Raw genomic sequence first — 17,880 nt, forward strand, 5'->3', positions numbered from 1 at the left:
TATTGATGTCTAGGCTAAATAAGAAATGAGATGAAGACAGGAAAGCGTTAAGACGGTAATATATGGATCAAAGGACTAAAAAGATTGTTAACACTGAATAATATTTTGGAAGACTTACTGTGCACCAAGCATCGCGTTAAGCATTTAATATACATTCTTTCATTTTGTCTTCGTAATAACCTTATGAAGTGTGTGTTATGATTATCTCTATTCTAGGCTCAGAGAAGTTAAATAAATTATCCAAGGTCATACTGCTAATAACACAATGAAAATAGGAAGCCTCGGCCCTCCCATCCATTTTATTATAAGACCACATGGAGAATGGCTATTATGGAATTAAGAAACTTGTAAGTGTAGAAAGCTGTGGTCGAGGTGTGAAATTTTGTGTGGAAAGGAGGGAAGGAGGAATTGGTGGAGGGGTTGACAAGATGGTGTAAAGGTTGGTAGCTGGATGGCATCATCCTCTAAGGACATGATTACTAACTTGGAGCAGAGAGATGGAAATTCTGAAATGGCATAAAGTAGAAGGATTTTTACTTCCAACATCACTTCTGGGTCCTTTTAGGCTTAGACAGGATGAAAATAAGAAGTATCCACTAGAGAAAAATGCCAACATAGATCTCTACTATACAGAATCACTTCTATTAGAATCTAACTACATAGATGTAAAGAGACACCATACAATGGAAATGAAGATTGCGTTTCTATGAAACATCACATGTAGATATATTTAATGTTTGCTTGGGAAAATCCTGCCCTCGAGCTTTCTTTTCTTTTTTTTTTTTTAATGTCTTTATTCTTTGTTCATCCCTTCGCCCTCTTTATTTTCTTTTTGGGACTCCTAATAGTTTACTTAATGTTATACTTCCATGATTCGACCTCTATCTTATTTTTTCCCTTCTTTTATTTCCATCAGCCTCTTTTATTTCTGCATTTTAAGATAGTCCCTTACATGTATTTAGTGAGTAAAAAATTGATTTGTCCATTTTTAGTGCATCTGGATTTTTATTTCATAAAAGATATTGTTTTATTTTGAGGTTATTAATTTCAGGCTTTGTTTTTTACTTTCATCCCCTGGACATATTTTCTCATTTTCTTCTGAGTTTTTTTCCCCATGCCTTTCTTATTGGGAAATTTTTTTTTGACTTTGCCTGCAATGGAGTTTTTTTTTTAATTTTATTATTATTATACTTTAAGTTTTAGGGTACATGTGCACAACATGCAGGTTTGTTACATATGTATACATGTGCCATGTTGGTGTGCTGCACCCATTAACTCGTCATTTAGCATTACGTATATCTCCTAATGCTATCCCTCGCCCCTCCCCCCACCCCACAACAGGCCCCGGTGTGTGATGTTCCTCTTCCTGTGTCCAAGTGTTCTCATTGTTCAGTTCCCACCTATGAGTGAGAACATGCGGTGTTTGGTTTTTTGTCCTTGAGATAGTTTGCTGAGAATGATGGTTTCTAGTTTCATCCATGTCCCTACAAAGGACATGAACTCATCATTTTTTATGGCTGCATAGTATTCCATGGTGTATATGTGCCACATTTTCTTAATCCAGTCTATCGTTGTTGGACATTTAGGTTGGTTCCAAGTCTTTGCTATTGTGAGTAGTGCCGCTATAAACATACGTGTGCATGTGTCTTTATAGCAGCATGATTTATAATCCTTTAGGTATATATCCAGTAATGGGATGGCTGGGTCAAATGGTATTTCTAGTTGTAGATCCCTGAGGAATCGCCACACTGACTTTCACAATGGTTCCTTTTCAATTTTAATTCTATCTCCCCTCAGAAAACTTACTTTCAATCCCTATTCAGTAATTTTCTGCTCCACAGGGCAGGTTCTATATTACTTATGCTAGTTCCTCTACCTGAAATGTCCAACCCTCAACAGTATTTATCCAAATTCTCTCTTGTTTGGACCAAATTCCATCTTCTGCAAGTTTTCTTTTCTTCTTTAAACAGAAGTATGTGTTAACTGGTATAAGAAATCCACAGTACTTTTATTTGTATACTTCAAATGTCTCTCCTGCCTATAGACGTGTCCACAGTTAGAAAACAATAACTCACCTTCATTGGAAACACATTTCCCAGCAGGCTTAGAATTGGTGCGTTTAGTGGATTATCTTCTCTAGACCTCATATATATCCTATGTGGAAGATAGCTGCTATCAGTTCCACTTCATAAATGACGAAACTGAGGGTCAAAGAGGTCGCTTTACTTTCCTAAACTCACACAACCAAACCGTGGGGAACTTAGAATTTAAGCATGGACATCATCATGCTGACGATTAGTCTTGTGTTCAATCCTAGGAAGTGGGAAGTATTTGGCAGTGGTTGACTGGTGGGAAAATGGGAATACAAGTGGTATATGTATCATATGTACACAAACGAAAAGATACTGTAAGCTGTACCATATTACAACAGCATCGCTAAAACCCCAGTCACAGTTAATGCATACATGTGCACGAATTTATGCATACATGACATATGAGCACTCTATGTAACTCTGCACATTTGGACTTTAGTTTCTAAAGTGTATTGCGTAGCCATTATAGGGTGGTACTGGACAACAGAAACAAAATAAGAGCCACATGTGTAATTTTAAATTTTCTAGATGCCATAGTCAAAAGTAAAACAAAATAAGTAAAATTAATTTTAGTAATATGTTTTACCTAATGCATCCAGATACTATCACTTCAACATGTAATCAATATGAAAATATTAATTAGAAATGCACATTTTTTTTTCATGGCAAGTGTTGAAAATCTGGTGTGTCCTTTACACTTACGGTTTCTTTTCATTCAGACTAGCCACATTTCAAGTGCTCAATAGCAACATGTGGCTCTTGGCTATCATATTAGACCACACTGTAATGGAATATGAGAGGTGGGAGGTGGGAAGGCTTATAGGCATGATCTACTTTATTTTTTTGTTTGTTTGTTTGTTTATTTGACAGAGTCTCACTCTCTCGCCCAGGCTGGAGTGCTGAGGCGAGATTTCGGCTCACTGCAACCTCTGCAATTCTCTTGCCTCAGCCTCCCGAGTAGTTGGGACTACAGGTGCAAATTACCACATCCAGCTAATTTTTGTATTTTTAGTAGAGATGGAATTTCACCATGTTGGCCAGGCTGGTCTCAAACTCCTGACCTCAGGTGATCCACCCACCTCGGCCTCCCAAGGTGCTGGGATTACAAACGTGAGCCACCGCACCAGGCCAGAATTATCTACTTTGATGCCATTATTTTACAGAGTAGACACTAAGGCTTAGAAAAGCTGAGCAACTTGTTAAATTCTACTCAGTTCTAATGCGAGATATATGCAGTTCCCTGTTCTGGCCTGTTCCTGCCTATTGTTCCATGTTTTAATAGAGGGATCAGGAGATGGGGGAGATAGAAGTTAAATCACATTCTTTAATACTTTTTGACACAGAAGCAACATAATGGTACCATGTGATATCCACTCTCATTTTGCAAAACAGGAAATTGAGAAAGAGAAATGGAGTTAGGCATTTAGAGAGAGTTTTACGCTCTTAAGCCATTGGATGGGAAACCTGATTTCTGGTAGGAGAGCTATGCTGTAAAAGGTGTCTGAACACAAGACTAAGCTGGAATCTTACCCTGAGATATGGCAATCCATTTTTCAGTTCAAGATGAATCCTCCCACTTCAAATACTCAGACGAAACCTCTCAAGTCAATATTGCCCTGCAGACATCTTGTGCCTATGCATAAGAGCTAAGTGATTTCTTTCTCTGGAGCTAGGTTTCTGCTCAAATCCAGGTTTTTTTTCCAAGTGAAACAACCACAGGGAGCCTTTCCTGCCTGGTCCAACTGGTGAAACAGAGCCAAAAATGTTTGTGATTCTATTTATAGCTGTCTAGTGGTTGAACAGACTGGGCTGAGAATTCCTGGGGTGAAGTATTTGGTGCCTGAAGTCTGGAATGCCAGTTTTACACAGCTTGTTTTTAGATGCAAGGATTTCCATAAAAACAAGGCCAGGCACATAGAACTTTTTCAGGAGCAAAGGGCAAGAAAATGTTTTTAAAAAGGGGAATAATCCTAGCAAAATAGTTTTATAGATTTTTTTTTGGAAAGCCATGCCATTTTCTCCCCTCCTTATTACTAGTTGGTAATGTGCAAAACAATGCTATCTCAAAAATAAGAAAATAGTGAAAGAGAACATATGCCCCTGTTGTGGGTTAAATAGGGACTCCCAGAGGATATGTCCTTTCAGGACCTCAGATGTAATTAAAGTAGGGATCTTGAGGTGAGATCATCCTGGAGGAGGGTGGGCCCTAAATCCAAAGATTAACGTGTTTATGAAAGACTGAGACAAAGAGAAGAAGGCCCTGTAAAGCTGAGCACAGATTGGAGTTTTGTAGCTGTGAGCCAAGGAAAGCCAGGAGAAGCAAGGAAGGATGAGTCTCTAGAGCCTGCAGAGGGAGCACAGCCCTGCCAACACCTGGATTTCTGAAGTCTGCCCTACAAACTGTGAGATAATCAATTTCTTTTGTTTTAAGCTACGCAGCTGTGGCAGTTTGTTATGGCAACCTTAGCAAAAGAATGCAACCATGTGAAACCTCACCACCATAACTCATCAAAACTGTGATTCTCCTTTCTGTATTTCTCACATGTACACAGATGTGATGTAGTGGTGTTGTGGGTTAGATTTCATTTTAATTTCAGTTAAAGGAGAGGAAGATTACTACTTATTGAGCTTGTTCAATGTCCCAGATACAGCAAGGACTCACTGTCATGGACTTGTCCTCTTTTGCCTTTCTGTGGATGGTTTTCATCCTCCTTGTCCCAAGAATCTTCCAGGGCTGGGAGGGTAGGTTTGGATGACGAGAAGATTACAATTCATTACAGAAGAAATGCGAAGAAAAAATTAACATTAATTTTTTGACTTTCAAGACCTAATTGTACAGTAATGCTATAGCCATGGGAGCTCAGCTGTTGTCTAGAATGTAAATTTTTCAAAATCCCTTTGTTTTTCCTGTTATTAACCCCACATTCATCCCTCAAATCTACACTTTTGAGCTGACCAAAAACCAAGCCTGAGCAATTCAACTCATAGAGTTCTCCCAGGGCAGAAACACCTCTTCTGTCCCCGATAAGTGGGAAACCCATTAAGTGGGAAAGTGACACATGCGATGTGATGGCAGAGAGAGGATATGATGTAGGGAAAACAGGTATTTAACCACTGGGACCCTCGGCAGTGTGAAGTATTGAGGGACAAGGGGTGACCAGAAGATGGGGAGATATTTGGGCAGAAGTACAGTTAGTGAGGGTAGCACATAAAAGGTCTGTCCTCGCTCCATGGCCATCTCAGAGCTACCCTGCACCAACCTGGAATGTAACAACATCAAGGTAATGTGAGGCTAGTGTGAGCAAGCCATGAGGTTGAGCTTTTTCAAGCTTCCCTAATAGTGTAGAGAAGGACCAGAAGCATGTTTGAGTCTGACTGGGAGCTTCTCAAAGGGGACTGGCTAAGTGGGAATGAGATGATTCTATAGGAATAGCTTTAGGACAGCTCATCAGGCAAGGATAAATAGTTGTCACAGGCAGAGTCTCAAGATGTCCACTACATCTGCAGGGGCAGACGTGAGTCCATGTAAGCCAGGAGCACCATGAAGCTCTGCCCGTTTTCGGAAAGCAGCTTAGCTATGAGTTACCTCAGCGACAACTCCAAATGCCACCAGGAAATAGCAACCAGGCAGCTGAGTGACATCTCCTGGGAAGTCAGCAGTGATGAAGGACACACTGAGTCCAAGGACCTCCCCTGGACCCTGAGGTCACATGAACCACTGCTGTCCACATGCACCCAAGCACATTTTTGAAGAAGTGGTTGGGAAGGTAGAAATGAATGAAAAGTAAAGGGGCAAAAACATTATCTTAAAAAAAAGTTATGGAGAGGAGCAAAACAAAAGGTATGGGCAAATTGGCAAATATCTGGGAGATGGAGAATTCTCTAAAAGATTGTTTAAACATCAGACACAACGGAGCTTTAAACAGCACTGGACTGAATGAAGTTAATTTCTTCCTGGTCCACAAGTAGGTAGAGGTTCCTGAAAAAGACCTTGTAAGTCTAGACAAAGAACCTGATTCCTCTGTGTATCTAAGCATGATGTAAGTGAATCTGAGGCTTTTATTACTTCAGTTTGTCCCCATAAAAGAGCTAGAGAGAAATATTTTCTATTTGCACTCAACTCTAAAAAATCATTTTTTACAACACAGAACACTCCTATAACACCAATCCCACAGAAAGATTATTTCCACATCCTTTATTTCACCCAGAAATTTAAATGTAAGCCAAAGCAATAATGTCATGCATCAAGCAGTTATCCTACATGTAATTAAGAGGCTCCAGAAGTTTTAAGTCTATATGCAAGGAGCTGGGCAGGGAATGCGCGCTGTTTGCTGGTAGAGGTTTCCTTTCTTGAGGAATCATTTACCATGGTGATCTTAAGACCAATTACCTTCTTTGCACTGATGATACCTTATCACTTTACAAAAAAACAAGCAAACGCCAATAATCTCATACAACTCGCTTGTGTATAAAAGCGTCTAAAGAATGGAGCCATCCATACAGTTACAGAAAAGATACTGATGCGTGATTTATTTTGCAATCTAGCTTCCTGCAGACTCTGATGAGGCCATTACACACATGCCTTCAGCACCTTGCACTTCATTTGCAGTATATTAATTTGTACATATTTATAGGGGTTTTGTAGCAATATTTCTGGAATCCAATTATATGTCTCCATTCTGTCTCCCCATTTAGGTGATGAGAGATCTTTTTAAAGGCAAAGACAGCAATTTCCTGGGGATCTATGAGTACACTGTTCAACTACAGTACAGGTAACTGAATTCCAAAAAAATCTGGTAAACAACAGTGTTCCAGGTTTTGTCTCCCAAACCTGTACAAAGCAATTTCATTTGTGTGATTTCTGAGAGGATCACTTAGCCAAGGCATCGAAATATAAAAGATGGCTTAGGGAATGATTTTCAGTGAGTCTTAGTCATTGCTTCCGCTAGGGGCCTTAATACGAGTGGGTAGGATAACTAGGGGAAATTATGTCCTTGTTACCTTTTATCTGCCTCTCTGCCTCTCATTCTCTCCCTAACAATCCCCTGTTGCCTCTTAAGAACACCCCACCACACACAGACATACACTCACACCTCAAAGTGCTGTCACTTGCATCTTTGCAAAGAGCACCCCGACCCCACCATACGCAGATACACTCTCACACACATTTCAGTCCCAACCTCAGGCATACTTCTGTTCCAAGATGCCCAACCTCTGATGCAAGTAATCAAGACTTCTATTCCCTGGTATTAGAGGTACAATAAATATGTATTTTAAGTATTTCTCAGTGAGGGCGTGGTGGCAATGTCTCAGACAGAGCACCAGACTTAAACATAGAAGTCCGAGGTTTGAATTGCTGCTTTTTAATTTATTAATTCTGCACCTCTGAAAAATTACTCTACATCCGCAATGATCTTGTCTTTAACTTTGGTGTCACAGCCATGAAAAGGCCCCTAAAAAATATTTGCTATTGTAGGGTAAATGACTAATAGACATGGTCTTTGTGGATGTGATCTGAAAGGCAACATTTTAAAAGGACAGCTTTTAAAAGTCAAACTGTAACCTAATTAATAAAAGTTGGAGAGAGGAAAAGATTTCTGAGTTCTGGAACAGTTTGGGGGCCTCTATTACCACCTTCAAGAAAAAGTAGCAGTGGCTCAGATTCATTTCAAGGTTAGAGACGTTTGAGTAAGTTTCCTATCCGACTGTTGTAAGGTGTGTTGTGCAGAACTGTGAACAAGTCTAGCAATCAAAATTCAAGATATTCCCCCAAAGAGCCTGCAATGATTCATACATGCCTCTCAATATTCAATTGCTTTTTAATTCAGTGGACGTGAGAAAATGTCTTAGAAATGTGAGATTGCGTAAGCACACATACACATATACATACACACACACAGTGTGCAGCCCTTTTCATCTTGAGAAACTGGCTTGCACTCACAAAATGGACTGCAATTGAAAAACTGACTTCGCTGAGCAGTAGGGGTTGAAGTATGGCGCACAAAAGCTTTCAGTTTGGAAAAATCCACATCTCTGACATTGAGCCAAAGAGTTGCCTCAAGTTGTGCACATATCCATCATGTTTTTTAGCCAGTGCTCAATTTATTCTGACAAACCCAATCAACATAGCCTTTACAGTGGAGTTTTTTTGGTGTTCAGAAGGTCAGCTTCAAATGCCTCCACATTTCTACAGCTGCTTCCATTATTCTTTCAGGAAAACAAATAACAACTTAGAAAAGGAGGATAATGTGCTGTGCTGCTAGAGCCTCAGGGGCTATCAGAGGAGAGAAACAGGGTGACAATCACCACTGACAGAGCCTAGGAGAGCTTGTAATTAAAAGGTGGAGCTTTGAGTACCAAAGAGAAACCACTGACAATGGATCCTCTGCAGGGAAGAGTTTGTCTTAGACGATCAAGTAGCAGCCTAATGGGGAACATTTGGAGCATTGAGGAATCTTTAATCTTTAATGAGGGACTGGGGCCCCAGGATCAATTTTAATTCCACCAAATTCATGAGACACAATTGCCAACTTTTAAAATGAAAACTTTTTATCTTTTTAAAGAACACCTCCCTCCAGAGGGAGTCACAATACCTATTTCTGATCTGAGAGCTGCCGAATGCAAAACTAGGTATCTTTAAAAAGTAATTGCTTCTTTAGCTGAGACTTGAAGGTGTAGTTCCTGGGAAAAAATAATCACCTTGAAAAGTTCCAAAAAGAAGATGAGAGTCTGAGTCCTAAATATAAAAAATAATGAAATAGATTTTAAAAAAAAAAAAACTCTGTGATTCCCATTCCCATGTGGGCACACAGAAGTCCTGAAATGTCTTCTCTGTCTTGAAACCACATTTCTCAGTCAAATTGCAAACGTTAGAGAAGTGGTCCGAGGGAATGCCACAGTAATACAATCAAAATAAAATAACATAAAATTATTTTCAAATCATTCTCAGAATGGAAGCAATTTTAGAAACACAATAAAAGTCAACAGTTAACATGGGAATTGCTGAGCACCAAATCAGAATTATTGACAGTGAGGCTGACTCAAACTTGAAGAGGCTGACATCCCAGCAAATGTGGGATTTCTAAAGTCAAGTCTCTGAATCAACCCAGGTCTGGACAAAGTGACTTCAACCAAGGCATTAATAGGTAATTCCTTCAAGTTGTGCACCTACCACTCCTTGTCTCCCCAGAAAGAGAGAGAGGGAGATTAAGGGGATTCAATTAGATTAATTTTAGAAACATAAATTCCCCAATGCCATATTAAAATAGTTACTAGGTGGGTCTTTTGCTGCAATAGAAGCTACAGAATAGAAAGAGGCACTAAGGCAATTCAGACCATGATGACAACTTGGACAAATGACTGCATTTAAGAACACCTGGGAAAACCACACACGTGACTCAGGTGGAGCTGTCCTTCCTGGACCCACCTTGCTACTAAGCACTGATCCCTAGGAGGCTAGTGAGTACAATAGTATATAGCACGTGCTATATTTTAAGAGGTATTGGGAAGACTTTTATGCCAACCTACAAAATGGAATACTATTTAGTCTTTCAAAAGAAAGAAAAATGGTCATTTTCAACAACATGGATGAATCTAGAGAACATTATGCAAAGTGAACTAGGCCAGACACAGGGAGACAAATGCCACATGATGTCACTCATATGTGGAATCTCAAATAGTTGAATTCATAGCAAAAGAGAGTAGAATCGTGGTTATCAGAGGTCGAAGCAAGATCAGTAAATGGATAAAGAGGAGACGTTGGTCAAAGGGTACACCATTTCAGTTAGAGAGGAGGAAGAGGTTCTCGTGATCTATTGTACAATATAGTGACTATAGTTAATAATCATGTATTGTATATTTCAAAATGGTGAAAAGAGTAGATTTTGAATGTTCCCACCCCAAGGAAATGATAAATATGTGAGGTAATAGATATGCTAATTGGCCTGATTTGATCATTCCACAATGGGTGCATGTATCAAAACATCACCTTGTACTCCAAAATATATGCAATTATGATTTGTCAATTAAAGATAAAGTTAAAACAATAGACACATCTTACATTTGTCTTTAATTTATACTCATTTAATGAGAGATAGAGTCTTTCATTCCACAGTTCAAGTAAGGGTTAAAAGCCACCTCTGCTAGGAGAGGAAATCCACTGAGTCTCTTCTACAATAAAGCACCCATTTATCAGACTCTGAGACTATCTGTGTTTGTTATAAGGAACAGTGTTCAGAGAATCAATGGCAACCAAGAAGACAAGTACCACAAGAGTGACTCTGAGGCTGGAAAAGGAATCAGAGGAAACAAGTGCATTCATGAAAGTCAAATTTCACCCACTTCTCAATTTTACATCTGTCAGGCTGTGCCTGCATGTGAAGGCCTCAGAAAAAGTTTCTGATCCTATGGAGAAAATGGAACACAAACCAGAGGCTCTGCAATGATTATATCCACTATTTGGATTTCTTTTAAATAGAGAATCCTGTGTAAATGTACAAGGTAATAAGTATGGGGAATAAAAAAGGATAATGAAGAGAATGCACATTATAAATATTAAGTCAACAGAAAAGCTTTTGTGAGTTTACGATAGTTGCAATCAGTCTAATACATAACTGTTAAATGATGATACCATTATGGAATAAGTGTTCTTAGTCACAGTAGCCTTGCTGCACTCCCATACTACCCTCTGTGCTGGCGGACTGCAGGATGCCCCTCCAGCCAACCTTCGGCCAGGTCCATGGCCAGGTGTCTGACTCTGCTGCTTCTTGGGCTGACCTGGCAATGGGAGGGACATATGCTGCAGACAGGAGCCTGGAGAAACATGGACCGGCCACTCTTCAGAAGGAATTCTTGCATTCAGCTTTGCTGGTTTTTTTTAGCTTTTTAAATTTCTTATCTATCACTGCTTTGCACAATTTTTAATCTAGTTATGAAAATTGGGGATATAAAGACTGTGCTCCAGTAAAGTTTCCCAGGGGTTTTTGAATGAGATTGGAGATGGTCTGTGAAATGGCAAAGCCTGGCTGGGGCTGATGTGCCCAGGTAGACTCCGAGACCCTTAGCCAACATCGGGATCTCCAGCTACCTAGCGCTCCAGCCTAGTGGAGAGTCTTGAGCTTTGGAATTACTACGACTCTTGGCCATGAAGGATATTTTCCTAACAATTCTTCATAAAGTTAGAATAGAAAGACAAAAATCTCATTTTTCTTGGGGTCAAAGTAAAGTTGGATTTTTCCAAAATAACTTTTCTACAAAAAATAAAGGGGGCAGAAGGGAAAGTGGGTGACAGAAGGCAAGAACACACACACACACACACACACACTCAAGAACACGCACAATGAAGTTACAGAGAACCTGTATCTGAGTTCCTGCCTGCTGGCTCTAACCCTCATATCTTTAAGGGTGAATACATGTCTCAAACTAACAAAATTAAGTCCTTTTGTTACACACACACACACACACACACACACACACATTCTTTGTATATATTCTATTGTACATTATTATACAGTGGAAAGATCTAGGAGAGAACACAAAGTGTGGAGATAACTTTTTAAAAAGGGTAAAAAAACTAACCCAAATAACTCCCTTGTCTGGTCCTCTCTCATTCTATTATATCCATCTTTCTTTTTTAAACTTTTATGTATGTATTTATGTATGTATGTATTTTTTTGAGACATAGGTCTCACTCTGTCACCCTGTGCAGTGGTGAGATCATAGTTCACTGTAGCCTCAAACCCCTGGGTTCAAGTAATCCTCCCACCTCAGCCTCCTGGATAGCTTGGACTACAGGTGTGCATCACCAAGCCTGACTAAGTTTTCTTGTTTTTTGTAGAGATGAAGTCTCCCTAAGCTGTCCAGGCTGGTCTTGAATTCCTGGGCCCAAGCAATCCTCCTGCCTCAGCCTCCTAAAATGTTGAGATTACAGGTGTGAACCACAGAACTAGCCCCTTATATCTGTCTTAATGTTCTGGATGACTTTGCAGAGGATGTGAAGGCTAGAATGGTAGCTCAGCAGAATCCAATAGGTCCATTTATTTAGTGATACTTGAAAAGGCACAGTTGCCAGTGGCTCCATCTTGATTGCACAGAGGCACTCTCATGATTCCACAGGTCACCTCTCTGCATTGTTCTCATCACAAATGCAGCACAAGCAGTGTCTGCTAATGAACAGACTAACAAAAAACATTTTTTGATATCTAGGTTTGGTTTGCCAAGTAATTTTAAAGATGTATCAGAAACTTGCCTTGATAGTTCTGGAAAGTTCTGGGAAGATCTTGGGATAGTTCCAGAAAAAAGAAAAAAAGGTTTTTGTCAACTTAGCTCCCTTTACTTAAAAAAAAAGTATAGAGGCCAGGCATGGTGGCTCATGCCTGTAATCCCAGCACTTTGGGAGGTCGAGGTGGTGGATCACCTGAGGTCAGGAGTTCAAGAGCAGCCTAGCCAACATGGTGAAACTCCATCTCTACTAAAAATACAAAAATTAGCGGGCATGGTGGTGCATTCCTGTAGTCCCAGCTACTTGGGAGGCTGAGGAAGGAGAATTGCTTGAACCTGCAAGGTGGAAGTTGCAGTGGGCCGAGATTGCACCACTGCACTCCAGCCTGGTTGATGGGGGAGACTCCATCTCAAAAAAAAAAAAAGAAAGAAAAAAGAAAAAAAAAAGATAGACTATACAGCAGCAGCAACTACAATAGAACAGGGTTCACAGGACTTGCATAAGAATTCATCAACTTTACAAACCAAATTTCCTAAACAGTTAAAAGAATGACTAAAGCTAGCTTAATCACAGTAAGAATTATTTTGTAAATATGTGTCAAATATGTCCAATATCTCTAGAGATCTGTGTCAAGGCAGCAGATAAAATAATCTATCTGTGGATAAAAGTGTAGCAAAGGTGCTAACTGGGCACATTGCTAAATGAGCAAAATTACCGCTAAAAGCCTTTTAAAAGAAAAGAGAAGATGGCTGAGGCTTTGATGTCACAATATAATGGAAAAAAAAGTCAAACTTTATGTGGAAAAAACATTTACATTTATTTTGGTTAGGTGACTTTCCAAATCTTGTTAGACAAATGGGAATGAAAGAAAAGCTCAGATTTTTTTGCACACTTTAAACATCTCAAGAATTTGTACAGAAAAGAATTATTCTAAAAAACAGTGTTTTAGTGATTTTATTCTTTTATTTTTTAAGCTACTGTATTGAAGTAGGATTGGCATACTAAAAGCTATAAATATTTCATGTACACAACTTGATGCATTTGGAGATAAATGTACACCTTTGAAACCATCATCACAATCTGTGCTCTTACCCATTCATCACCTCTGTGTTTCCTCTGCCCTCTTTTTTTATTCTTATTATTTTAATTGTGATAAAAGCACTTAACATAAGATCTGCCTTCTTAGCAAATTTTTAAGTATACAATACAGTATTTTTAAGTATACAATACAGTATTTTTAAGTTTAGGCACTCTGCCTATTAGATCTCTAGGATTTATTAGTCAAAGGATATAAGGTTTCAGTTATTCTTTTTTTAAATGACTTTACAAATGTTGGGATCATGAACAAGCAGCCTGGGCAACAAAGCGAGAATCCGTCTAAAATAATGATAATAATAAAATAAATAAAAATAAAGTGAACTCATTTCCTCTCTCTAAAATGGCCTTATACTCTTTATTTGATTGAAATTTAAACTTTTAAAGATATTTAAACCTGAAAAAGTTGGCAGGTCATTAAGGTTGTCAAATTTACCAAATAAAAATACAGGATGCTCAATTAAATTTGAATTTTGGATAAATAACAAACAGATTTTTAGTATAAGTATGTCCCAAATACCTGCATACTTATTGTACGCAGGTTAAAAGAGTTGTTATCTGAAATTCAAATTCAATTAGTCATCTGGTACTTTATCTGTTAAACTTAGAGGCCATAAAAAAATTCATACCTGCACCAAATGGCGCACTGTTCTAGCGGGTGAACATTCAATAATATAGGGTATCCAACAAAAGTTATGCTAGGTTATCAAGGGCAAAGAGTAGGAAAAATAATTAAACATTTAGTCTTCCTAATCATTGTGGCTGAGAGGGACATCACACATACACAGTCAATGTGGCTATCAGGAGACTAGAGAAGCCAAATACTTCAGACCATTTGGCTGTCCCAGTTTTCTCACTGGGTCAAATAGGGTCATCCCTTTAAGACAATATATCATTAACTCTATCTAGTACCAAGGTAAAGATTGTTTTCAAACCTAATACACAGGTATGTTCTTCCTTCATAAGAACAACCTGGCAAAGTTGTGGCAAGTTTAGCCTCTTCCCTAGAAAAGCTATCTGCTAGAGGAGGGCTATTAATATTCTCTCCATTTCTCCATCCCCAGGATATGTGAGCTAAGTCAAGAGGATTGGAGGGAATGTGTACAATATACTACCAGATTTAGAGGAGGAGCACTGCCGTGCATATGCTCAGAAGGAGCAGAGATCATTTCCATTCTAGCAGCTCTGGAAACCTCACATATAAGCCATATTTCATGAGACCAAAATGACTGTCCCAGTTTCCCTAGGGAAGATATTTAAAAGATACCAAAGTTTTCTCTGAGTAAAAAAAGGGTATGAGGAGGCAAAGTCAAACCTTATCTACTTGTTCCTGTGTCAGATTCTTCATGAGTGTATAACTCTTGGGATGAAACTGGAGAAGTTTTGGAATTTGAAGATACCATGGAGGCCATGTTCTATTCTGAGCTATGAGGTGCAGGTGTAAATTCCTTCGCAGCTTTAGAATTCCTGTACATTTCTCCATGGCTGCCTTCCCAGTGTGTTTAACCAAGCACATGTCTGTGCCCACACACTAGATAAGAACTGATCCCAAGCAGTCGAGAAGCTTTCATCTGCCTTTTGTTTCCACGGTGGCAATGAAGAACAAAGAAAGCCGGGAACTATGCCTAACTATGAGTAACCACAGATGATCTTCAGTAACTGTTCTCATCTTTCCATTGTGGAGGAGATGTCTCATACTGAAGCATGCTTTGCCTACAAAAATAAATACATATTTGACACTTGGAAAACCATATTTCTTTAGAAATATGTCAGTGACCAGTACATCCTGAAGCTAGCATGGTGGGGAATATCCCATGGATAATTTATTGAGTCACTAAATAAATACTTCTTTAGCGCATATCAAGTGACAGATATTGTGCTAAATGTTAATCATACAATGATGAAACAAAGATACAAGGTCTCTGCCATCACAAACTCCGTCCAGAGGGAAGAGACAGTAAAATGATAATTACTGCCCATTGCGATGAGTGCTACAGTTGTACAGAGCCCGGTGGAGAGAGGAAGCGAGCCCAGCCTGGAAGCATTCTATAGAAAACTCCCCAAAAGATGCCCATTTAAGCAAAAAGTTGAAAATTGAGTAGAAATCTACAAAGTGAAGAGTGTGCGTCTGTGTGTTTGTGTGTGTGCAAAAAAAAAAAAAGGAGTAAGGTCAGTGTTCCAGGAAAAAAAAACTATGCAAAGGCTCATAAGAAATGAAAATAATTTTAGTAAGGATGCAGTTTAAACCAAGGTTGATAATTTTTAAGAGGTGAAGCTGGAGAGGAAAATAGAAACCAGAAACCAGATCCCAAAAACATTTCCAGCAATATTAAGTTTAAACTTTCTCCTGAGGACAATACTGAGATTATGAAGGTTTTTAAACCAGGGTAATGGCATAATGAGATTTGTATTTTATAAAAATCTCTATAGTTGCCAAGTAGAAAATAGGTTGAAGAGGGAAACCATTTAGGACACTCTAAGCTTATAGTAGAGAAATGGATAAGCTTAAAGGTATAGATGCCATTTTAAAAAAATATTTGAAGGGAAAGAATTTGATTAGATGGAATAAAAAAGAGAAAATCATTTAACCTAAGCAAGCAACCTAGCACCCAAATGTTGGTTTCTAATATCATTCTCCAGAAAAAAAGGACTGGAACTCCTTTCAGAAATGGTTATTTCTAGGACTGAGGCAGGAAATTTACAAAATGAGCCTTGAGCATCTTGTTGTGCTGGAAAATAAGGAAGTACAGAAAAAACCACACACACCCACACACACAGTGATTTGAGTATATCAAAGGCACATGGGAGCCAACAAAAAGAGTTCCCAATAGCAAAATCTAGAGCAATTTGAACAATAAAATAATCACAGTAGAATTAGATTATAGTATAAACTATAAAATAAATATATCCATGAGTTTATTCAAATATAAATGACTGAATAAACAAAGAGGATAGATAAACCTCACATGCAGAATTATTTTGAATAATTTATGTAGATACTCCACCCTCAAGGAGGTGAAATATAACTCCCCACTCCTTAAGGCTGGGGTGTGCATAATGAATTCCTTCCAAAGAGTACAGGATGACTAAGAGTGACCAAGATGATCAACAGCCAGGTGACCAAAGTCAACATCAGCAGCAATAAATCATGGTAATAGTATGCACACTTGATATGATGTGATGAAAATGGGACTTTCCCTCTGTGGTCTTTCTCTCAAAAACACATATCCCAGTCTAATCCTGAGAGAAACATCAGGAAAATTCCAGTCGAGGAGCATTCTCCAAAATATCTGACCAGTGCTTTCAAAACTATTAAATCGCCAACAACAAGGAAAGCCTATGAAACTGTCACAGCCAAGAGGAGGAGTCTAAAAATAGGTGATGAATAAATTTAATATAGTATTCTATATGGGATCCTGAAACAGAAAAAGGACACTCAGTAAAAATTAAGGAAATCTGAATAAACTATGGACTTTAGTTAATAATAATGTAAAATATTCTCTCATTAATTGTGACAAATGTGAGATGTTAATAACAGGAGAAGCTGGTTGTGGCATATATAAAAACTGTGCTATCTTCACCATGTTTCAGTAAATCTAAAACTATTCTAAAATAAAATGTTTATTTAGAAGATAAATAAGACATGGATAGGAATGAAAATTTTAAGTTATTGAGATAAGAAAGAACCTAACTTTACTAAGCAAGCAGTATTTGAGGGCAGAATTAAGGTTTTAGGAAAAACCATGACATAATCAATATTGTGTTTAAGGAAGTTTTGTTTGATGGATTAGAGAGAAGAATATATAAAACTAAATAGAACACACAGAAAATATAGGTCCATTGCAGTGATGGTCTTTATTTGAATAAACATTTGTAAAAATGGAGAAGAAAATATCTATAGAAGAGAAACTTTATGTCCAGCCATATTGTTGCCTGGGGAAAAGAATTCTTAGCCTAAAAACTGGAGCACCTTAGGATGAAAGTATTCAAGGAAATGCCTGATTGAGATATAACTGAAATGCTTCAAGTTTGGATGTAACATCTCCAACACTGGCTGAGATTCATACAGAGAGGTGAGCTAAATACAACTGAGTGATAATTCATGGCAGGTGCAATTTTCATATGAGATACAAATGCATTAAAACCAAAATTATCTTTGAATAAACTTAAATCATCCATAAAGTATAGTATTCACAGTTGTATGTATATAACCATATACAGTAATATGTATATATAATGTATATAGCAATGTAACAATAATACAACAAAGTGATACACAGATAATACACTTATTTACCACTAGAATCATAATCTCCTTATTGTGAGTTATTCACACCATAATAGATAAGCATCTCCTTTGTAATAATTTCACACAAAGAAGTGTCTCCATTATAAACTACTAATATATAGGTCCTAATATATATTATAAACCATTAATATATAGAAATCAGTGAGGACTGGTTTTGTTGTGTT

The 17,880-nt window shown here is 38.2% G+C and overlaps 1 protein-coding gene and 1 long non-coding RNA gene across 9 annotated transcripts in view; one reads left to right on the forward strand and one right to left on the reverse strand.

Moving 5' to 3' along the window:
• The window catches only part of ZMAT4 (zinc finger matrin-type 4), a 367,237-nt gene that overhangs the window by 97,645 nt on the left and 251,712 nt on the right, over window positions 1–17,880 (reverse strand). For 5 of the 7 annotated variants that reach the window (XM_017013836.3, XM_047422236.1, XM_024447275.2 and 2 more), the window contains one exon: window positions 13,109–15,120. The exons of the other annotated variants lie outside the window; for them this stretch is intronic. In XM_017013836.3, the coding sequence (XP_016869325.1) occupies window positions 14,975–15,120 (146 nt within the window). In that variant the 3' untranslated portion in view covers window positions 13,109–14,974. Of the gene's footprint in view, window positions 1–13,108; window positions 15,121–17,880 lie in introns of those variants that run through there. 7 annotated transcript variants of the gene reach the window in all.
• On the forward strand, window positions 642–15,055 carry LOC107986938 (uncharacterized). Of its 2 annotated transcripts, none has more exons than XR_007060896.1 (3): window positions 642–4,495; window positions 6,789–6,865; window positions 14,943–15,055. It is a non-coding gene; the product is annotated as an uncharacterized LOC107986938 (long non-coding RNA). The 2 variants fall into 2 exon arrangements; XR_001745882.2 differs by lacking the exon at window positions 14,943–15,055 and adding an exon at window positions 14,472–14,526.

The sequence above is a fragment of the Homo sapiens genome, chromosome 8 (genome assembly GCF_000001405.40).
Source record: "Homo sapiens chromosome 8, GRCh38.p14 Primary Assembly".
In the NCBI taxonomy this organism is placed as follows: domain Eukaryota; kingdom Metazoa; phylum Chordata; class Mammalia; order Primates; family Hominidae; genus Homo; species Homo sapiens.